The sequence below is a fragment of the Homo sapiens genome, chromosome 11 (genome assembly GCF_000001405.40).
Source record: "Homo sapiens chromosome 11, GRCh38.p14 Primary Assembly".
NCBI classification, from domain to species: Eukaryota; Metazoa; Chordata; class Mammalia; order Primates; family Hominidae; genus Homo; species Homo sapiens.
In genome coordinates this window covers 101,138,511-101,156,541 of record NC_000011.10, presented here as the reverse complement: position 1 = coordinate 101,156,541, position 18,031 = coordinate 101,138,511, and the positions used below count along the sequence as shown (strand labels likewise).

Genomic DNA, 18,031 nt, shown 5'->3' with positions numbered 1-18,031 from the left:
GAATAAGAAGAAAATTACATAATAATATAAGGGGCATTTGATCAAGAAAATACAATAATTCTGAATGTATATGCATCAAACAGTGTTTGCAAATACATGAAGCCAAAACTAATAGAACTGAGGAAAAATAGACAAATTCACAATACAGTTGGAGCCTTCAGAACTTCTCCCTCAGTAATAAATAGAAGTAGACAGAAAAATAGCAAGGATATAGATGAAGTGAACATCACCATCAACCAACTGAAATGCTATAGAGCCTCACACCCCCAAACAGCACAATACACATTCTTTTAAACCACAGATGGAACATTCACCAGCACAGACCATATTCTGAATCAGAAAACTTAAATTTATAAGAATTGAAAGCATGCAAAGTATGATCTGACAATAATGAAATCGACATAGAGAAATGCTAGGTTCTGAGGATGTGAAAAGATACAGTCTATATTCCCAAGAAACGTGGAGTCTAACTGGAGACACATTTAACCATTAAATTCTGTACTACATGCCATATGCTGTACACAAAATACAACACAACATGGAAAGTGCTCTGATACAACAATAAATTTCTCTGATTGCACTGGTAGTGTCCAGGTAGGTTTCACAGAGGAAGTAATATCTAATCTAGACTTTCAGTAAAAAAAAAAAAAAAAAAAAAAAAAAAGATACTTTTATTTAAAATGAGATACCAAAGGAATTGTGAAGATGTTTTGATTTTTAAGTTGAAATTACATATAAACACAGAAAACACACACAGTAATTTCAAATATAGACTAACTTCCAAATCTCTTCAAAGATAGTTGTCATAAAAGAGAATAATAACTGAAAACAAGAGATGACTTTGAAAGTCCTGGTAAATATTTTTGGCAAAAAAGCAGCTTGGAAGGCAGGCCTCCCAGTGAGAAAGAAAGAACAATTTTATTCATTCAGTATCAAAATAATAAATTGTGTATTCCAAAAAAAAAAGAAAGATGAAGAAATGCAAGTAATAATAAAGGGAGCTACAGACATCTCATTGTTTTTGCATTTAATACTAGAAAGACATGTATCATAATTGGAGTTGACCTAAGTGAGGTGGCATAAACTGCTTAAATTTAGTACTAAAATCAAGCACAAAATGAAATTAATTGGGTATCTCTAATAATATGATTAATGGTTATTCTGCTTCATGGTAATTAGCCAGAAATATTAGCCATATGTATGAAGATTTATAACATTTCTTTTACCAAATAAAAGTATTTCTAAATCCAGTTAATAAAAGGAAAGGGGAGAGTAACAGAGCAGAAAGTTTATTTATATCCCTCCTAAAAACTCCGTTTTCAAAGCAGGTCTTTCAATTCCTTATCAGTAAGTATCCATAGGCCTGGACTTCTAGGATCATCATCACCATCACCACCAACTGTTATTATTAGCAGTTACAATCTAATGAACACTCTATTAGCCTGTGTGATGGTTAACACTGAGTGTCAACTTGATGGGATTGAGGGGTGCAAAGTATTGATCCTGGGTGTGTCTATGAGGGTGTTGCCAAAGGAGATTAACATTTGAGTCAGTGGGCTGGAAAAGGCAGATCCACCCTTAATCTGGGTGGGCACCATCTAATCAGTTGCCAGTGCAGCCAGGATATAAAGCAGGCAAAAAAAAACAGGAAAAGACCTCAGCCTACCTACATCTTTCTCCCATGCTGGAAGCTTCCTGCCCTTCGGACTCCAAGTTCTTCAGCTTTGGGACTCAGACTGGCTTCCTTGCTCCTTAGCTTGCAGGCAGACTATTGTGGGACCTTGTATCATGTGAGTTAATACTATTTGGTAAACTCCCCTTTATATATATACCCATCCTATTAGTTCTGTCCCTCTAGAGAACCCTGACTAATACAGTCTGCATGGGATGACATAATAAAATACCAAAGACTGGGTAGCTTAAATGACAAGATTTATTTTGTCACTGTTCTGCAGGCTGGAAGTCTGAGGTCAAGGTGCCAGAGTTGGTTTCTGGTGAGGCCTCTCTTCCTGGCTTGCAGATGGCTGCCTTCTTAGTGTGCCCTCCCAGTCCTTCCTCTGGGTTCACATGTATGTAGAGGGGGGAAGAGAGCAAAAGAGAGAGAGAGAGAGAGAGAGAGAGAGAGAGAGAGAGAGAGAAATCTATCTTTTCTCTTTTTATAACGACAGCAGTCATATCAGATTAGGCTCCATCCTTATAACCTCAATCAATCTTACTGCCTCCTTAAAGGCCCTACCTCCATATATAGTCAAATTGGGGGTTAATGCTTCAACATATGAATTGGGTGGGGTAGCACACAATTCAGTCCATAATAAACACCTACCACATGCCACATATTATACCAACTTTAGTATCTCAATGTGCTCCTGCATCAACCTTACTAGATACTAAGTAATCCACTTTGAAAATCAGTAAACAGCCATACAAAGAATTTAAATAACTAGTCATATGACAAGTAAAATAGAGAAAATATTGTAAAATATGTTTCAACTTCCAGGAAAAACTTGGTGGCAACTAAGTTATGAATTATTCCACTTCTCCAAAAAGCCATAGGGAAATAAGAATAATCAGAAAAAAAATGCACATTCAATGGTCGACAAAGGCAGAACACAGAATAAATACCTCCAAGCTACAAATTTTGTGTAAATGCTGCCTGTAGCAAAATTGTTACCGACATCTTGCAGAAAACTGAAATGAGATATGATAAAACTCAAGGTGAAGGAGGGGACAATGGGAGAATAGTGTGACAACTATCACCACATAAACATACCCAGGAGAGGACTATACTCTGAATGGGAACTGCTATGAGCAAGGCTGGGGAGCACACTTGGAGGCAGGGAAAGAGAGCTCAGAAGTGACCCAGGGCTAGTAGATAATAACATAATTTTAAAAATCGTCTATATGTAAGGGAGATTTTCCAGAAGGCATGATCTCTTCCTTGGTGATACAGGTAGATTAGAACCTGAAGAAGTTTAGGTATGGCAGTAGAATCTCCTCTGAGCCAAGATAGATTCAAAAAGTAGTAGAGAAAATGAAATAAAACCTAGCTCTGTCACTGTAACAGAGGTGACAGCCTTTGAGTTATAGAGGTGCCAGGTTACCCTGGTCTTTCCCCTTTCCCCAACGTGAGATTCTTGTAAACAGCTGGTTCATAAATATAAAATTAAATCAAGTGTGAGAAACAAAAAGAATAATCACTGCATCTACACAACAATTTTGTATTTTAAAAATGGGAAAAGAGTTTATCAGGGGAAAGCAAATCAAAACCATAATAAAATACCAACTCACTATAGTTAGAATGGTGATTATCAAAAAGACAACAGAAAACAAGTGTTGTGGAAGAATAGAGAAGAAGGAACACATAGACACCATTGATGGGATTATAAATTAGTAGAGCTGCTATGAAAAACAGTATAGGGGCTCCTGAAAAAATTAAAAACAGAACTCCCATATGATTCAGCAAACCCACTTATTGGTATATATCCAAAGGAAATGAAACCAGCATATTGAAGAGATATCCACACTCTTGTGTTTATTGCAGCACTATCTGTAATAACCAAGATTTGTAATCAACCCAAGTGTCCAATAACACATGAATCGATAAAGAAAATGTGGCATATATACAGAATGGAATACTATTCAGCCATAATAAAGAATGAAATCCTGTAATTTGTGACAACACGGATGGACCTGGAGGACATTATGTTAAGAGAAATAAGTTAGACACAGAAAGATAAATACCACATAATCTCACTCATATGCAGAATTTTAAAAATTCATTGATATCACAGAAGCAGATAGTAGAATGTTCACCAGAAACTGGAGAGAGGAGGGGAAAGGGGAGGATGGGAAGAGGATACTCAATGGGTACAAAGTTACAATTAGATAAGAGAAATAAATCCTGGTGTTCTACTTCATGTTCTCACTCCTGAGTGGGAGTTGAACAATGAAAACTCATGGACACAGGGAGGGAAACAATGCACACCAGGGCCTGTCAGCGGGTGGGAGTCAGGTGGGGGTAGGGAGAGCATAAGGATAAATAGCTAATGTATGCTGGGCTTAAAACCTAGGTGATGCGTTGATAGGTGCAGCAAACCACCATGGTACAAGATTACCTATGTAACAAGCCTGCATGTTCTGCACATAGTATCACAGAACTTAAAATAAGAATTTTAAAAAAATTCTGGTATTCTATTGCACAGTAGGGTAATTATGGTAATATTAAGGTATTGTATATTACAAAATAGCTAGAAGAGAGGCTTTTGAATGGCCTCACCGCAAAGAAATGATAAATGCGTGAAGCAATGGATACGCGAAATACCCTGATTCAATCATTATACAATATATATATAGTAAAACATAAAATTATACCCATAAATATATACAATTGCATGTCAATAAATAAATAAATAAATATTGGAAATAACAAAATAGTTTTATTTTAAAAATCAGCAATGTTGACACTGATCATATGAAAATTGTAAACCACTAAGCTTTGGACAAATATTGAAGAAAGAAAACCACAAAGCAGAAATACAAAAACTCAGGGAAGAGATGGCCAGAAAACAGTGGCTTATGATAGAACAATAAGTGTAGATGAATCAAGAACTTGAAAAACTCAAGGATTAAAAATAGAAAAAAGGCCAAAAAAAAAATTTCAGAAATCAAGACTAAATTTGATGAAAAATAAATATGAAAAAGCCTTTGACAAAATTCAAACTCATTCCCAATGAAAAATTCAAGACAGTAAAAAGCTATAAACACTTAGTAATACATGTGTATCTGTATATATATGTACATATGTACATATATTACATATATGTACATATATTACTGTGTGTATATATTTTATACTGTGTCTGTGTATGTTCCCATTCAGAGAACATTCAGAGACAATAAGAAGCTATGAATACTTAGTGTGTGGGCATATATATATATATATATATATACACACACACACACACACACACATACACACACATGCACACACACATATATACATATTACATATAACTTATCATCAGCATATAACATTGTTACATATGTGTATATATACATATACATATATATATCTCTCACAATCCTAAAGCAGCATTGGACCCAATGAGGAAACACCACAGGAACTCCAATTAAGTTCAGAAATAAGGCAAGGATGATTATCTCTACTACTTAGCATAATACTAGACACATAAGTCACTGCATTTAGAAAAGATAGAAGAGGCATAAAAATTACAGAAGATGAAATAAAATCATCTTTATATGCAGATAATATGGTGGTATACTTGGAAAATCCTACTAACTCAATAGAATTCATCAAAGTAGTAGGTTATGAAATTAACACTCAAATATCAGTAGAATTAGTATACACAAATAGCCATGAGGAGATAAAAATAAAAAGAAAATTACACTTACATAGCAACAGAAAACATAAAACACTTAGAATAAACTTCAAATGTTCAAAGCTATACAAAGAAAACTATAAAACACTGGTTAAAAACACATATGTAGTCTTAACTTATGGAACAACATGTTAACAAATGGAAAGATGACGGGGTTTTCTAGATATACAATCATGTCATCTGCAAACAGGGACAATTTGACTTCCAGACCAAAATATCCTTAAGCTGATAAGCAACTTCAGCAAAGTCTCAGGATACAAAATCAATATGCAAAAATCACAAGCACTCTTATACACCAATAATAGACAAACAGACAGCCAAATCGTGAGTGAACTCCCATTCATAATTGCTTCAAAGAGAATAAAATACCTAGGAATCCAACTTACAAGGGATGTGAAGGATCTCTTCAAGGAGAACTACAAACCACTGCTCAACGAAATAAAAGAGGATACAAACAAATGGAAGAACATTCCATGCTCATGGGTAGGAAGAATTAATATCGTGAAAATGGCCATACTGCCCAAGGTAATTTATAGATTCAATGCCATCCCCATCAAGTTACCAATGACTTTCTTCACAGAATTGGAAAAAAACTACTTTCAAGTTCATATGGAACCAAAAAAGAGCCTGCATCGCCAAGTCAATCCTAAGCCAAAAGAACAAAGCTGGAGGCATCACGCTACCTGACTTCAAACTATACTACAAGGCTACAGTAACCAAAACAGCATGGTACTGGTACCAAAACAGAGATATAGATCAATGGAACAGAACAGAGCCCTCAGAAATAATGCTGCATATCTACAACCATCTGATCTTTGACAAACCTGACAAAAACAAGAAATGGGGAAAGGATTCCCTATTTAATAAATGGTGCTGGGAAAACTGGCTAGCCATATGTAGAATGCTGAAACTGGATCCCTTCCTTACATCTTACACAAAAGTTAATTCAAGATGTACTAAAGACTTACATGTTAGACTGAAAACCATAAAAACCCTAGAAGAAAACCTAGGCAATACCATTCAGGAAACAGGCATGGGCAAGGACTTCATGTCTTTGCCCAAACACCAAAAGCAATGGCAACAAAAGCCAAAATTGACAAATGGGATCTAATTAAACTAAAGAGCTTCTGCACAGCAAAAGAAACTACCATCAGAGTGAACAGGCAACCTACAGAATGGGAGAAAATTTCTGCAATCTACTCATCTGACAAAGGGCTAATATCCAGAATCTACAATGAACTCAAACAAATTTACAAGAAAAAAACAAACAACCCCATCAAAAAGTGGGCAAAAGATATGAACAGACACTTCTCAAAAGAAGACATTTATGCAGCCAACAAACACATGAAAAAATGCTCATCATCACTGGCCATCAGAGAAATACAAATCAAAACCACAATGAGATACCATCTCACACCAGTTAGAATGGCAATCATTAAAAAGTCAGGAAACAACAGGTGCTAGAGAGGATGTGGAGAAATAGGAACACTTTTACACTGTTGGTGGGACTGTCAACTAGTTCAACCATTGTGGAAGTCAGTGTGGCGATTCCTCAGGATCTAGAACTAGAAATACCATTTGACCCAGCCATCCCATTACTGGGTATATACCCAAAGGATTATAAATCATGCCGCTATAAAGACACATGCACATGTATGTTTATTGTGGCACTATTCACAATAGCAAAGACTTGGAACCAAGCCAAATGTCCAACAATGATAGACTGGATTAAGAAAATGTGGCATATATATACCATGGAATACTATGCAGCCATAAAAAATGATGAGTTCATGTCCTTTGTAGGGACATGGATGAAGCTGGAAACCATTATTCTCAGAAAACTATCGCAAGGACAAAAAACCAAACACTGCATGTTCTCACTCATAGGTGGGAATTGAACAATGAGAACACATGGACACGGGAAGGGGAACATCACACACCAGGGCCTGTTGTGGGGTGGGGGGAGGGATAGCATTAGGAGATATACCTAATGTTAAATGACGAGTTAATGGGTGCAGCACACCAACATGGCACATGTATACATATGTAACCTGCACGTTGTGCACATGTACCCTAAAACTTAAAGTATAATTAAAAAAAAAAAAAAGGAAAAGAATGGGGCATATGGAGTAATAAACTAGTCTAGGTACTGGACTAATGTAGGAAAAAACATGAAATCGGGCCTACAAAAAGACTTTGTTTCTCATTAAATTTCGTAATATAAGAAAAAAAACAAAACAAATGGAAAGACATATTTTGTTCTTGGTTAGAACTTATCAATATCATCAAGATTTCATTTCTTGCTAACTTAATTTGCCATGTATTTATTTTCATATAAATTAATATATAATTTTATTTATGAAGTATTCAATTCCAATAAAAATACCAACAATTTTTTTTATAGAGCGAGGTAAGTTCATACTAAAGCTCACATAAAAAATAGACAAGAAGAGATAGTGAGCAAAACCTAAAATAGAATAGTTTTGAAGATGTTCTAGCCCCATAAGATATTAAAACATATTATAAAACCTTTGTAATTAAAACAATGCGGACTACTATACGAATAGAAAGACCAATGGAACAGAATAGAGAGTACAAAAGTAAACCATATGACTTATGGAAAATCTAATATATGACAAAGACAGTATCTCAAATCACTGGGGGCAGAAATGGACTTTATATTTAAGGGTGTTGGGACAACTGAAAAGTCATTTGGAAAAGATAAACTTAAATCCATTCCTCATGCCATAAATAAGAATAAGCTCCAAACGAATTAAAGGTCTAAATGGTTTTAAATTTTGTGAATACTAGATAAAAAAACAGGGGTAAATTCCTTTATAAAGTTAGGGTAGCAAAAGACTTTGCAATTATATCTTAAATTCCAGGCTGGGCATAGTGGTTTACACCTACAATCTCAGTGCTTTCGAACGTCAAGGCAGGAGGATAGCTTGAGGCCAGGAGTTTGGGACCAGCCTGGGCAATATCGTGAAACCCCCATCTCTGCAAAAAAAAAAAAAAAAAAAAAGTTAGTAACAATTAACCAGGCATAGTGGCACCTATGTATAGTCCTAGCTACTCAGGAGGCTGAGCAGGGGGATCCCTTGAGCCTAGGAGTTTGAGGTTACAGTGAGCTACGATTGTGCCATTGCACAGAGTGAGGCCCTGTCTCTTAAAAAAAAATTCCAGATGTAATTTTTTAAATTAACAAACTGAACTACACAAAATTTTTAAAAAGTATTTTTCATGGCAAGAAATGACAAGAAATTGGGAATATAAATAATTTGCCAGAAAAAAATTTACAACATATATGACAAATAAATATATAAAATATAAATATTCTAAATATAAAAAGATTTTAATAATTGAAAGAAAAACTCCAAAAAATCATAAAATGGGCAAAAGAATAGGAAATTCATAATGATATAAAGACCACTTAAAATATGAAAATATGAGCACATAAAAGGATATCATATCTCATCTATCAGACTGGCAAAATGTCAAAAGCTAAAATTCACTTTGTTGATGAAACTGCAGGGAAACAAGCACTCTCTTGCATTGCTGGTAGGAGTGTAAAACAGTACAACTTCTATGGAGGAGAATTTGGTACTTAACAAAACCACACATTCATTTATCTTTCATACCTAGCAATCCTACCTCTTGAATTTACCTTGAACGTACATTTCCAAGAATATGAAAATACATATGCACGAGATAGTTCTTTCTTGTAAAATATTAGAAACTACTTAAATGTTCAAACATAAGATATTGTTTGAATAAACTATTGTTTATATGCAGACAACAGAGTACTATGTGGCTGTAAATATTAATGAAGAAGATCTCTCTGGCCTGATATAAAATTATTTCTGGAATATAGTAAATAAAAAGAGCTACCTTTTGTGTGAGAAATAAAAAGAAATAAAAAAGCAAACACATCTGAATGTGTAAACAAAAAGAAAAGGGGCATTAACTAGAAAAAAATGAAATTGGGAGTAAGTGAAGGGGACAGGAGAGGGCATCATAATTTACTGAGGATAACTTTTTGTGTAGTTATGACTTTTGGAAGTATGTTAATGTTCTACATCTTCTATAAAAATAAATCACCAAGGAGTTGAGAAACAAACTATTAAAATATCTAATACTTAGAGCAAATTGAAACAAATGTACACAACTCTATTAGAAATGAATAACATAATCATCCTGGAGAGAAATTTTTTTAAAACACAATATTTAACTATAGCGCTTCAGTCTGTGGGTAGGGATGAAGGGGAGAAGAGCAAACTAAATTGGAATTTTGTGTAGGTATTTTTATAGTGGTATGCATAAAATAATTAGGAGATTATTTTATGTATAAGAGAGTAAATACTTTGATGTTGCTGGGAATCAATGTTATCTTTCCCTATGGAAGAAGTGAGATACAAACAGAATGGGGAAAGGCAAGAACACCTCTATGGCAATCAACTGAATTTGAGAGTATCAGTAAGAACTCATGATTTCTTTCTTTTTTTTTTCGCGGGGGGGTGAGGGGAAAATAGAGTCTCTCACTCTGTCACCCAGCTGGAGTGCAGTGGCGAGGTCTCGGCTCACTGAAACCTCTGCCTCCCAGGCAGAGGTATGTATGTAATGTCTTCAGAAGGACACAAAATCACTAATACAGTACTCCAACCAGAGAGCTTAACTTGAATGTAATCATAAAGAAACAACAGACTAAACAAAAATGAGGATTAGTCTATTGTTTTAAAAGAACCGGCATATTTCGAAATGTCAAAGTCATGAAAAACTAAGAAAAGCTAAGGAGCTATTTTAGATTAAAGGAGATTAAAAAGACATGACAACTAAATGTAACACATGATCCTGAACTGGAGGGAAAAAAAATGCTATAAGGAATTTTATTTGATCAATTGAAAAAATTAGAAAAATGAGAGATTAATGTATTGTTTCAGTGTCAAGTTTCCTGAGGGTGATAACCATACTATGTTAATATAAGAAAATGTCCTTGTTCACACTGAAGTAGTTACGAGTAAAGCAGTATGATTTGTGCAACTTACTCCCAAATGGTCCAGAAAAAAATGTATTTCAATCTGTATCTGTAAATGATGAATAGATATTATATAATAGATTAGACAGATTAGATTTGATAGAGCAAACAGTAAAGTAAATTGGATAAGATGTTGGAAAATCTGGATGAAGGATATATGGGAGCTTTTGTACCCTTCTTGAAATTTTTCAGTAAGTTTGAAATTATTTCCAAATAAAAACATTAACAATGAGTACACAAGGACATAAAGTTGGAGAAAAAAGACTCTGGGGACTCCAAAATGTAGTGCAAGAGGATTGAAAAACTATCTATTGGGTACAATGTTCAATATGTGGGTGATGGGTACACTAGAAGCCCAATCCTTACCGCTATGCAATATACCTATGTAATGAATAAACACATGTGCCTCCCTGAATCTAAAAAAAAAAAGTTTTAAAAAATTAAATGAGAACAAATAAAATAGACACCCTGTGTAGTGGGTTGAATTATGTCTCCCTAAAAGATATGTTCAAATCCTAAGCTTTCATACCTGTGAATTTGACCTTATAAGGTCTTTGCAAATGTAATTAGTCAAGGATCTTGAGATGAAATCATACTGGATTAGGCTGAGCCCTATATCTAATGACTGGTACCCATATAAGAGAAGAGGACACAGAGAGACACACAGAGAAAAAGGCCATGTAAAAATGAAGGTAGAAATGGGATATATGCAGATAAAAGTCAAAGAATGCCAAGGATTTCTGAGAATCACTAGAAGCTACGAAGAAGCAAAAATGGATTCGTCCCTAGAACCTTCAGATAGAGCATGACCTTGCCAACACTTTGATTTTGAACTTCTAGTCTCTAGCACTATCGGAGAATATATTTCTGTTGTTTTAAGCCATCAAACTTGTGGTAATTTGTTACGTAAATTGTGGGAAATTGACACATAAGTAATTATAGGAAATAAACAGCAAAAAGAAGAAAAAAGAAACAGAAATAAAGAAAACTTTAAAAATAGAAAGAAAATAGACATATAACACAGGCGGAAGAGACCTAATAATTTCATAAATGTAGTCTCCAAAAAAGAAAATAACAATGGAAAACGATGAATATTTTAAGCTATCATTTAAAAAGGAAATACTTTCCTATAATAAAACAATTTAATCTACATATTGAAACAGCACATCAAAATCATATCACAATCTGATTCAGAAGAGTCAACAATAATATTTATCTTAGAAAGTCTATTAAACTTCAGTGATGAAGAAAGGCTCCTTAAGAAACTTGTAATGGAAAGAAAAACACAATGGCATGAGTCTTCTCCACATTCAGGAAACAGAGGAGCAACACCTACAAGATACACAACAAAAGAAAGTCCCCAGATTTCATACACAGTCAAGCACTTCTGCAAGTATAAAGACAGAAGACCAAGAACTTTGAACATGTAAGAACTTAGTGAGGATTTTTCACCTTTTGAAAAATACTAAAGAAACCACATTTGGTGATGAAATCTACAGCAGTTGGCATTAGATATTTTAACCAAAGAAAACCTAAAATTAAAACCAACATTGGAATAAGAATCACTGCATAGAATATTATAAGTGGAAAGAGAATGGGAAGAAATGTGAAAAATAGAAAATGCTCTATGATTGACCTGTTTGTATAAGTAGGAAAGGAAGAATATTAAGATAAAGCTGAGAACAAATAAATGTAGAAGCATATTAAAAAATACAATGGGAAGCACTAGTAAAGGTAACATGATTAAATTGATTTAAGGAAGAAAGAGGAGGAAGAAAAACATACAACCATCTTTAAGTGATACATTATTTGAATACTAAAATTAAAATTAAGTCATCTTTTTTTTTTTTTTTTAAATGGAGTCTCGCTCTGTCACCCAGGCTAGAGTGTAATGGCGCGACCTTGGCTCATTGCAACCTCCACCTCCTGGGTTCAAGGCATTCTCCTGCCTCAGCTTCCCAAGTAGCTGGGACTACAGGCATGTGCCACCATGCCTGGCTAATTTTTGTATTTTTAGTAGAAACAGGGTTTCACCATGTTGGCCAGGCTGGTCTCGAACTCCTGACCTCAAGTGATCCGCCCGCCTCGGCCTCCCAAAGTGCTGGGATTACAGGAATGAGCCACCATGCCTGGCCAAGTCTTCTTAATAACTAGTTTTCATCACCATTTCTTCATGTACACTAAGGTTAAGGCCTAAAGAAAACATCTGCGGTTATTTCTGTGATTACAGGAGTTTTAATTCTTAAAATTTTTTTATTATCAAAAACTTATTTCAAAGCCTATACCATGTCAAACTTTGTTTTTGTAATTACAGTTTTTACCAATAAACTGTTTCTCTCATTCTTTCACAAATAATGATCAAGACTTTAGGAAGAGAGACATATGGTGTAGAATGAAAATTGGCAGTCAACTGAAGATAACCATCTAGGAAACTAGAGTTGAAGACCACCTTAATGTGGAATAGCAACAAAAATGCATGAACCAGATTGAGAATTAGCAACATAGAAAGAGAATGTCAGAGAAAAGAAAGGGAAGTAGATTCTCCTGTGGCAATAAAATATAAATCACTATGCGAGCTTCAGACCCTTCCTTCTCTTTTATTCCTGTTTACTGGAATTGTTCTATACAGGTAGCTATTTAAGATGAGAACTACTACCATGTTTTATATTTTCTAAATTTAACTATGCTGTTATATTGTGCTTTCACAATAACTGGTATTGTAAAAAGATAATGGCTTTTGCTAAGCCAAAATTTTCTAATTTTCAATGAATTGAGTAGTTTTTAGTTTAAGTCAGAATAATGAAAAAATGAAGGCTTTTTGTAAGGAATGAGTTTGGCTGACAACTGAAAAAGGCCTGCAGCTCCAGAAATGGTCTGGTGATAGGGGGATTTTTTTTTTTTTGCACTTAATCGTGCATCTTATATTTTCCTTAACGTATGATTTTCCATTTGTATGTATACACTCCTTTTCTTTTTATTGGGAATCCAATGTCCTTCTCAATAGTAATAGTTCTTATATGTAGTATAACTGTAAAAGTAAGAGAAAGCCTTTTTTGTCTCACGTTATAGTTTTAAACTTAAAATTATCATTTTATTTTAAACTCGACTATAAAATTACTATTGATCTTGTTAACCTCATGAGAAAGTATTATTTCTGGTGTTTAAGCTTGTAAAGATACCACTATTTTACATAGCATTTGTTCCTTTTTTATCAAAATTATCATAACAGTATTATATTCCTTTCCTTCCTCCTAGACAAATTAGGGAATGAAAGATTTTTGTCTGCCTTTTTGAATAAACTGTAGGAAAAAGACAGAAAAGAAAAAAGATTGTTGGAAAAGCTGTCTTCCCTCTATTAATGAGTAAAGGTTTTTCTCTTTTCAAAAATTTTAAGTTATGATTTTGACTAAATGAATGACTTACGGTAACCTGGAATTCTATTTTATAATATCAAGTGTCTTAAATCTTTGATATTTTACAAACTTTCCAAAATCAAATTATAAAGTATGTGATTTTCTGACCTAATTAATTTTTTAGGTATTAGGTCACCTAAACTCCAAAAGTGACATTTGGCTTATTTGGTATAAAAATCATACAGAAAGCATTGTCAAATATGAAACGGTGTTTGGCTTTCTTTGGGTTGTATTTGTAAAAATGTGTTAGTGGTATGTGTTCCAAAATTATGAGAAACTCCTATAATTCTCATATGACTTAGTATGTTATTAATAATTACAATTGTTATGTAAAACTGTTGTATGCCACAGAAGTAATCAAAATTCCCAGTCAATTGTGGCTTTAATAGTGGCTGTACTAAAACTTTTTATCATACACAGATAATTGTTGTCTTGTTTTAATCCTCTTTAAAAGGTGGTTTATAATCAACTACAGGACTCTAACAGGTGTTCTTGAATGCAGGTTTCTAATAACTTTGGAGACTGTGTGACATTAGGATAGAGAAAAAAAACTTTCAGGAGTCAGGGAGAGCTGAAATGTCCCTGACTACCAAGCAGGACAGGAGTTAACTGTATGGAATGAAGTAACAGAAGACTGAATTAATTTATGTGACATTTTGCTTAAAATGTTGTTGATCCTTTGCTTTGTTTTTCAGAGTCAAGGAAGCTTTTTTTAAAAGCTATTTACAACTTTTAACACTTGAGTAAAGTATATTCCTGTGAACAAAATTTGGACCATACTTGTTTCTCTCTACCTGATTTCTCCATAATTTAGAAACTATTTGTAAGTATTATTGACTTATGGCAATATAGTTATTTCCATAAGTACAATAAATCTGTTTTCATTTGTAACAGGACACAGTTGGAGACAATGGTTATTTTACCAAGGCTTTGACTTGAATGTTATGCTTTTCTTTGAGAAATAAAACTTGACTTACAGAGCCAATAAAAGCCCCTTGGGAAAACTGGCTTCATACCTTGTCTACCCTGTCCCTGTGCAAGGTTCCTGAACTGTGGTAAGTAAAGAATGTCACTTTCTGACAGACCCAGGAGCCCCAAGTTATCTTTGGACCTCAAGAGGAGAGGAATTTACCCAACTCATAGGTAGTGGAGGGTACAAACCCACGGCTGAGCTCAGCTTTAAGAAAAGGTCTTATCTGAAATTCCTTATGGAAGAGAGTTCCATCAAAGCCAATTTTACAAGCCTTGTGAAAAATAATTATTCTTGCTGCACTTTATACAAATAAAGCATAATAAAGCAAATTCGACTACCATCATTTGTCTTTAGTAAAAATGGAAGACGAGAGAGAGAAAAAAATTATGTTTCAAGAACTATGGTATACTTATTATTATATTCTAGTCTTATCAGTTGTTTTTTTTTTTTTCCTGCAATTTAGGCTGACCTTGCTTATTACCATGAACCAGCCAGTGATCTCTGACTGCAGCTCAGGAAAAACAAGAAGGATGGGTAATGTATAAATATGAATCAATATCCTAATTCTGGGCACACATTAGAATCAGCTATCAACCCCATATCAGCTTGGTTCCACCAGTTGCCCAGTTCATGGAAAGCCTTCTTATTTAGTTTACTTGGGATAATTTCACTTATTTTGTTTTACTGTTGTGAAATATATTGCTGTTGTACTCTTTGTGTAGGAATGCAGGATAAGCTTACTGAATGTTTTCTTAAATTAAACACTTATTCATCTTCCAAAAGTCACCTTTTGTCAGAACTCAGAGTTATGAATGGCCTCTCCTCTCTACACTGAAATTCAAAAGACCCTAATACTTAGGCAGGAATATCATCGCCCCTATTCAGCATGAAGAAGTTACAGAAAGTGGATCTTTATACTTCTGCAACCCTTAGGATTAAGGGTTCTCTTATAAAAGAGAGGGGGGATATGTCAGAGGCATTTGAACCAGAGTGACTCTATCTTGAATAGGGACTGGGTAAAATAAGGCTGAGATCTACTGGGCTACATTTCCAGGCAGTTAGTCATTGTAAGTCACAGAAAGAGACAGGAGGTCAGCACAGATATAGTTCACAAAGACCTTGCTGATAAAACAGTTTGCAGTAAAGAAACTGGCCAAAACCCACCTAAACCAAGATGGTGACAAGAGTGACCTGTGGTCATCCTCTCTGCTCATTATTCACTAATTATAATGCATTAGCATGTTAAAAGACACTCCCACCAGTGCCATGACAGTTTACAGATGCCATGGCAACATCCAGAAGTTACCCTATATGGTCTAAAAAGGGGAGGAACCCTCAGCTCCAGGAATTACCCACCCCTTTTCTAGAAAACTCATGAATAATCCACCCCTTGTTTAGCATATAATCAAGAAATAACCATAAAAACAGGCAACCAGCAGCCCTTGGGGGCTGATCTGCCTATGGAATAGCTATTCTTTTATTCCTTTACTCTCTTAACAAACTTGCTTCACCTTAAAAAATATATATATGTTAAGATAAACAGCTGGTATTTATGACTCCTGCTTCAAAAGATTTGATTGTGGAATGTAGTAGAGGAATTACCTTCCAGTTCTTGACCTTCATACTCCTGCCCAGTATCATGATACCTTTCCTCTAAATTGCACAAAATGTATCATTCATATTAACCATATAAACTACAGATTATGGCAGATTTTTATCTATAGTACTTACATTTGCCAATCTTTCCTTATCCTAAAATATTCTATGTAAACTTTTTTTTTTTTTTTTTTTGAGATGGAGTCTTGCTCTGTCGCCCAGGCTGGAGTGCAGTGGCACGATCTCGGCCCACTGCAAGCTCCGTTTCCTGGGTTCGCGCCGTTCTCCTGCCTCAGCCTCCCGAGTAGCTGGGACTACAGGTGCCCGCCACCACACCCGGCTAATTTTTTGTACATTTAGTAGAGACGGGGTTTCACCGTGTTAGCCAGGATAGTCTGGATCTCCTGACCTCGTGATCCGCCCGCCTTGGCCTCCCAAAGTGCTGGGATTGCAGGTGTGAGCCACCGTGCCCAGCCTATAAACTTTTAATGGTAATATAAAAAAAATCCCTAAAAGCTATATTACATTAAAGAGAAAAAACTAGACAACAAAATTAAAAATTAAAAGTATTTCCAAACTGCAATACAAGCCAGGTCTAGTTAAGTGTATATAGTCCCATGGACACAAAAGTGTAACAAATGAAACTATGCGTAAACTCTGAACAACTATATGCTAAACTGTAGAACCAAAGAAATGAGAGCCATAGCCATCAGCAATTAGTGCATAAGGTTGAAGACTAATTCAAGGCATCTAAAGGGATATTTGGAGTAGATAGTTATTGTGAAATATCATGTAAAATAGAATTGCCAATATATATGTACATATGCATGTATAAAAAATAATCAGGATAAATATATGAAAAGATTACATTTATAAAAATAAGTGGGCTATTAAATTCATTCATACATTAGTGTGAATTTCTTTCTCAGTTTAGATTAAGTATCACTTAGGACTCTGAGGGAAATAAGATCTTGGTATAATGTCAGACACTATTTGTTGAATTCCCAACAGCCATCTCCCTACTCTTACTTCTTTCTAACTAAACCCCAGTTGTGTTCACATATTGATAGCAAAGGACGCAGAGCAGTGGACACAGCTGCAGGAGATGAACCATGGTTAGTCTAATCAAATTCTTGTTTGAGTAACTTGTTTAGTGGTGGACAGATGACTCAGTTCTAGCCAATATGTTTTGATAGGATGTCTATGGAGTGGGCTTCTGGGTAAGAATTTTTCCCCCTGATTTGAAAAAATAATGCCAAGAGAAATTTTCCTTATTCCTAATTCTGTATGAGGTTATGTGAGGCTCTGATGCCTGCAGCTTTAGTAGCCATCTTTGGATGCTGAGGTTAGCTCACTGAAAAGGCAGGGAGTCTGGGACTGTGAGACTATTACTGAGCCAATGATTAACCAACCCTACAACTACTTTCCTCCAGACTTCTTGTTATGAGGGATAATAAACATCTATTATATAACTCACTTTTTGTTGAGTATCCTGTTACTTCAGGCAAAATATATACTATCTGACATGGGTATAAAAATCAGGTATACTTTGCAGGTTATTCAGTACATCTGTGGAAGGGCCTTAGTAACCCAGTGGTTGTACTGGGGCAGTGAA

General features: G+C 34.9%; 1 non-coding gene across 1 annotated transcript in view, besides 1 other annotated feature; it reads right to left on the bottom strand.

The window, feature by feature from the left end:
* Positions 1 to 18,031, bottom strand: part of PGR-AS1 (PGR antisense RNA 1) — a 30,194-nt gene that overhangs the window by 2,729 nt on the left and 9,434 nt on the right. The window contains exon 4 of the transcript NR_073144.1: positions 8,310 to 8,399. This is a non-coding gene — a non-coding RNA (PGR antisense RNA 1). The remainder of the gene's footprint in view (positions 1 to 8,309; positions 8,400 to 18,031) is intronic.
* Positions 14,837 to 15,037: a silencer, noted in NCBI's record as "peak1438 fragment used in MPRA reporter construct". NCBI's record gives its function as "represses an SCP1 promoter by STARR-seq MPRAs in K562 erythroleukemia cells {active_cell/tissue: K562}" and the evidence as "EXISTENCE:reporter gene assay evidence [ECO:0000049][PMID:32103011]".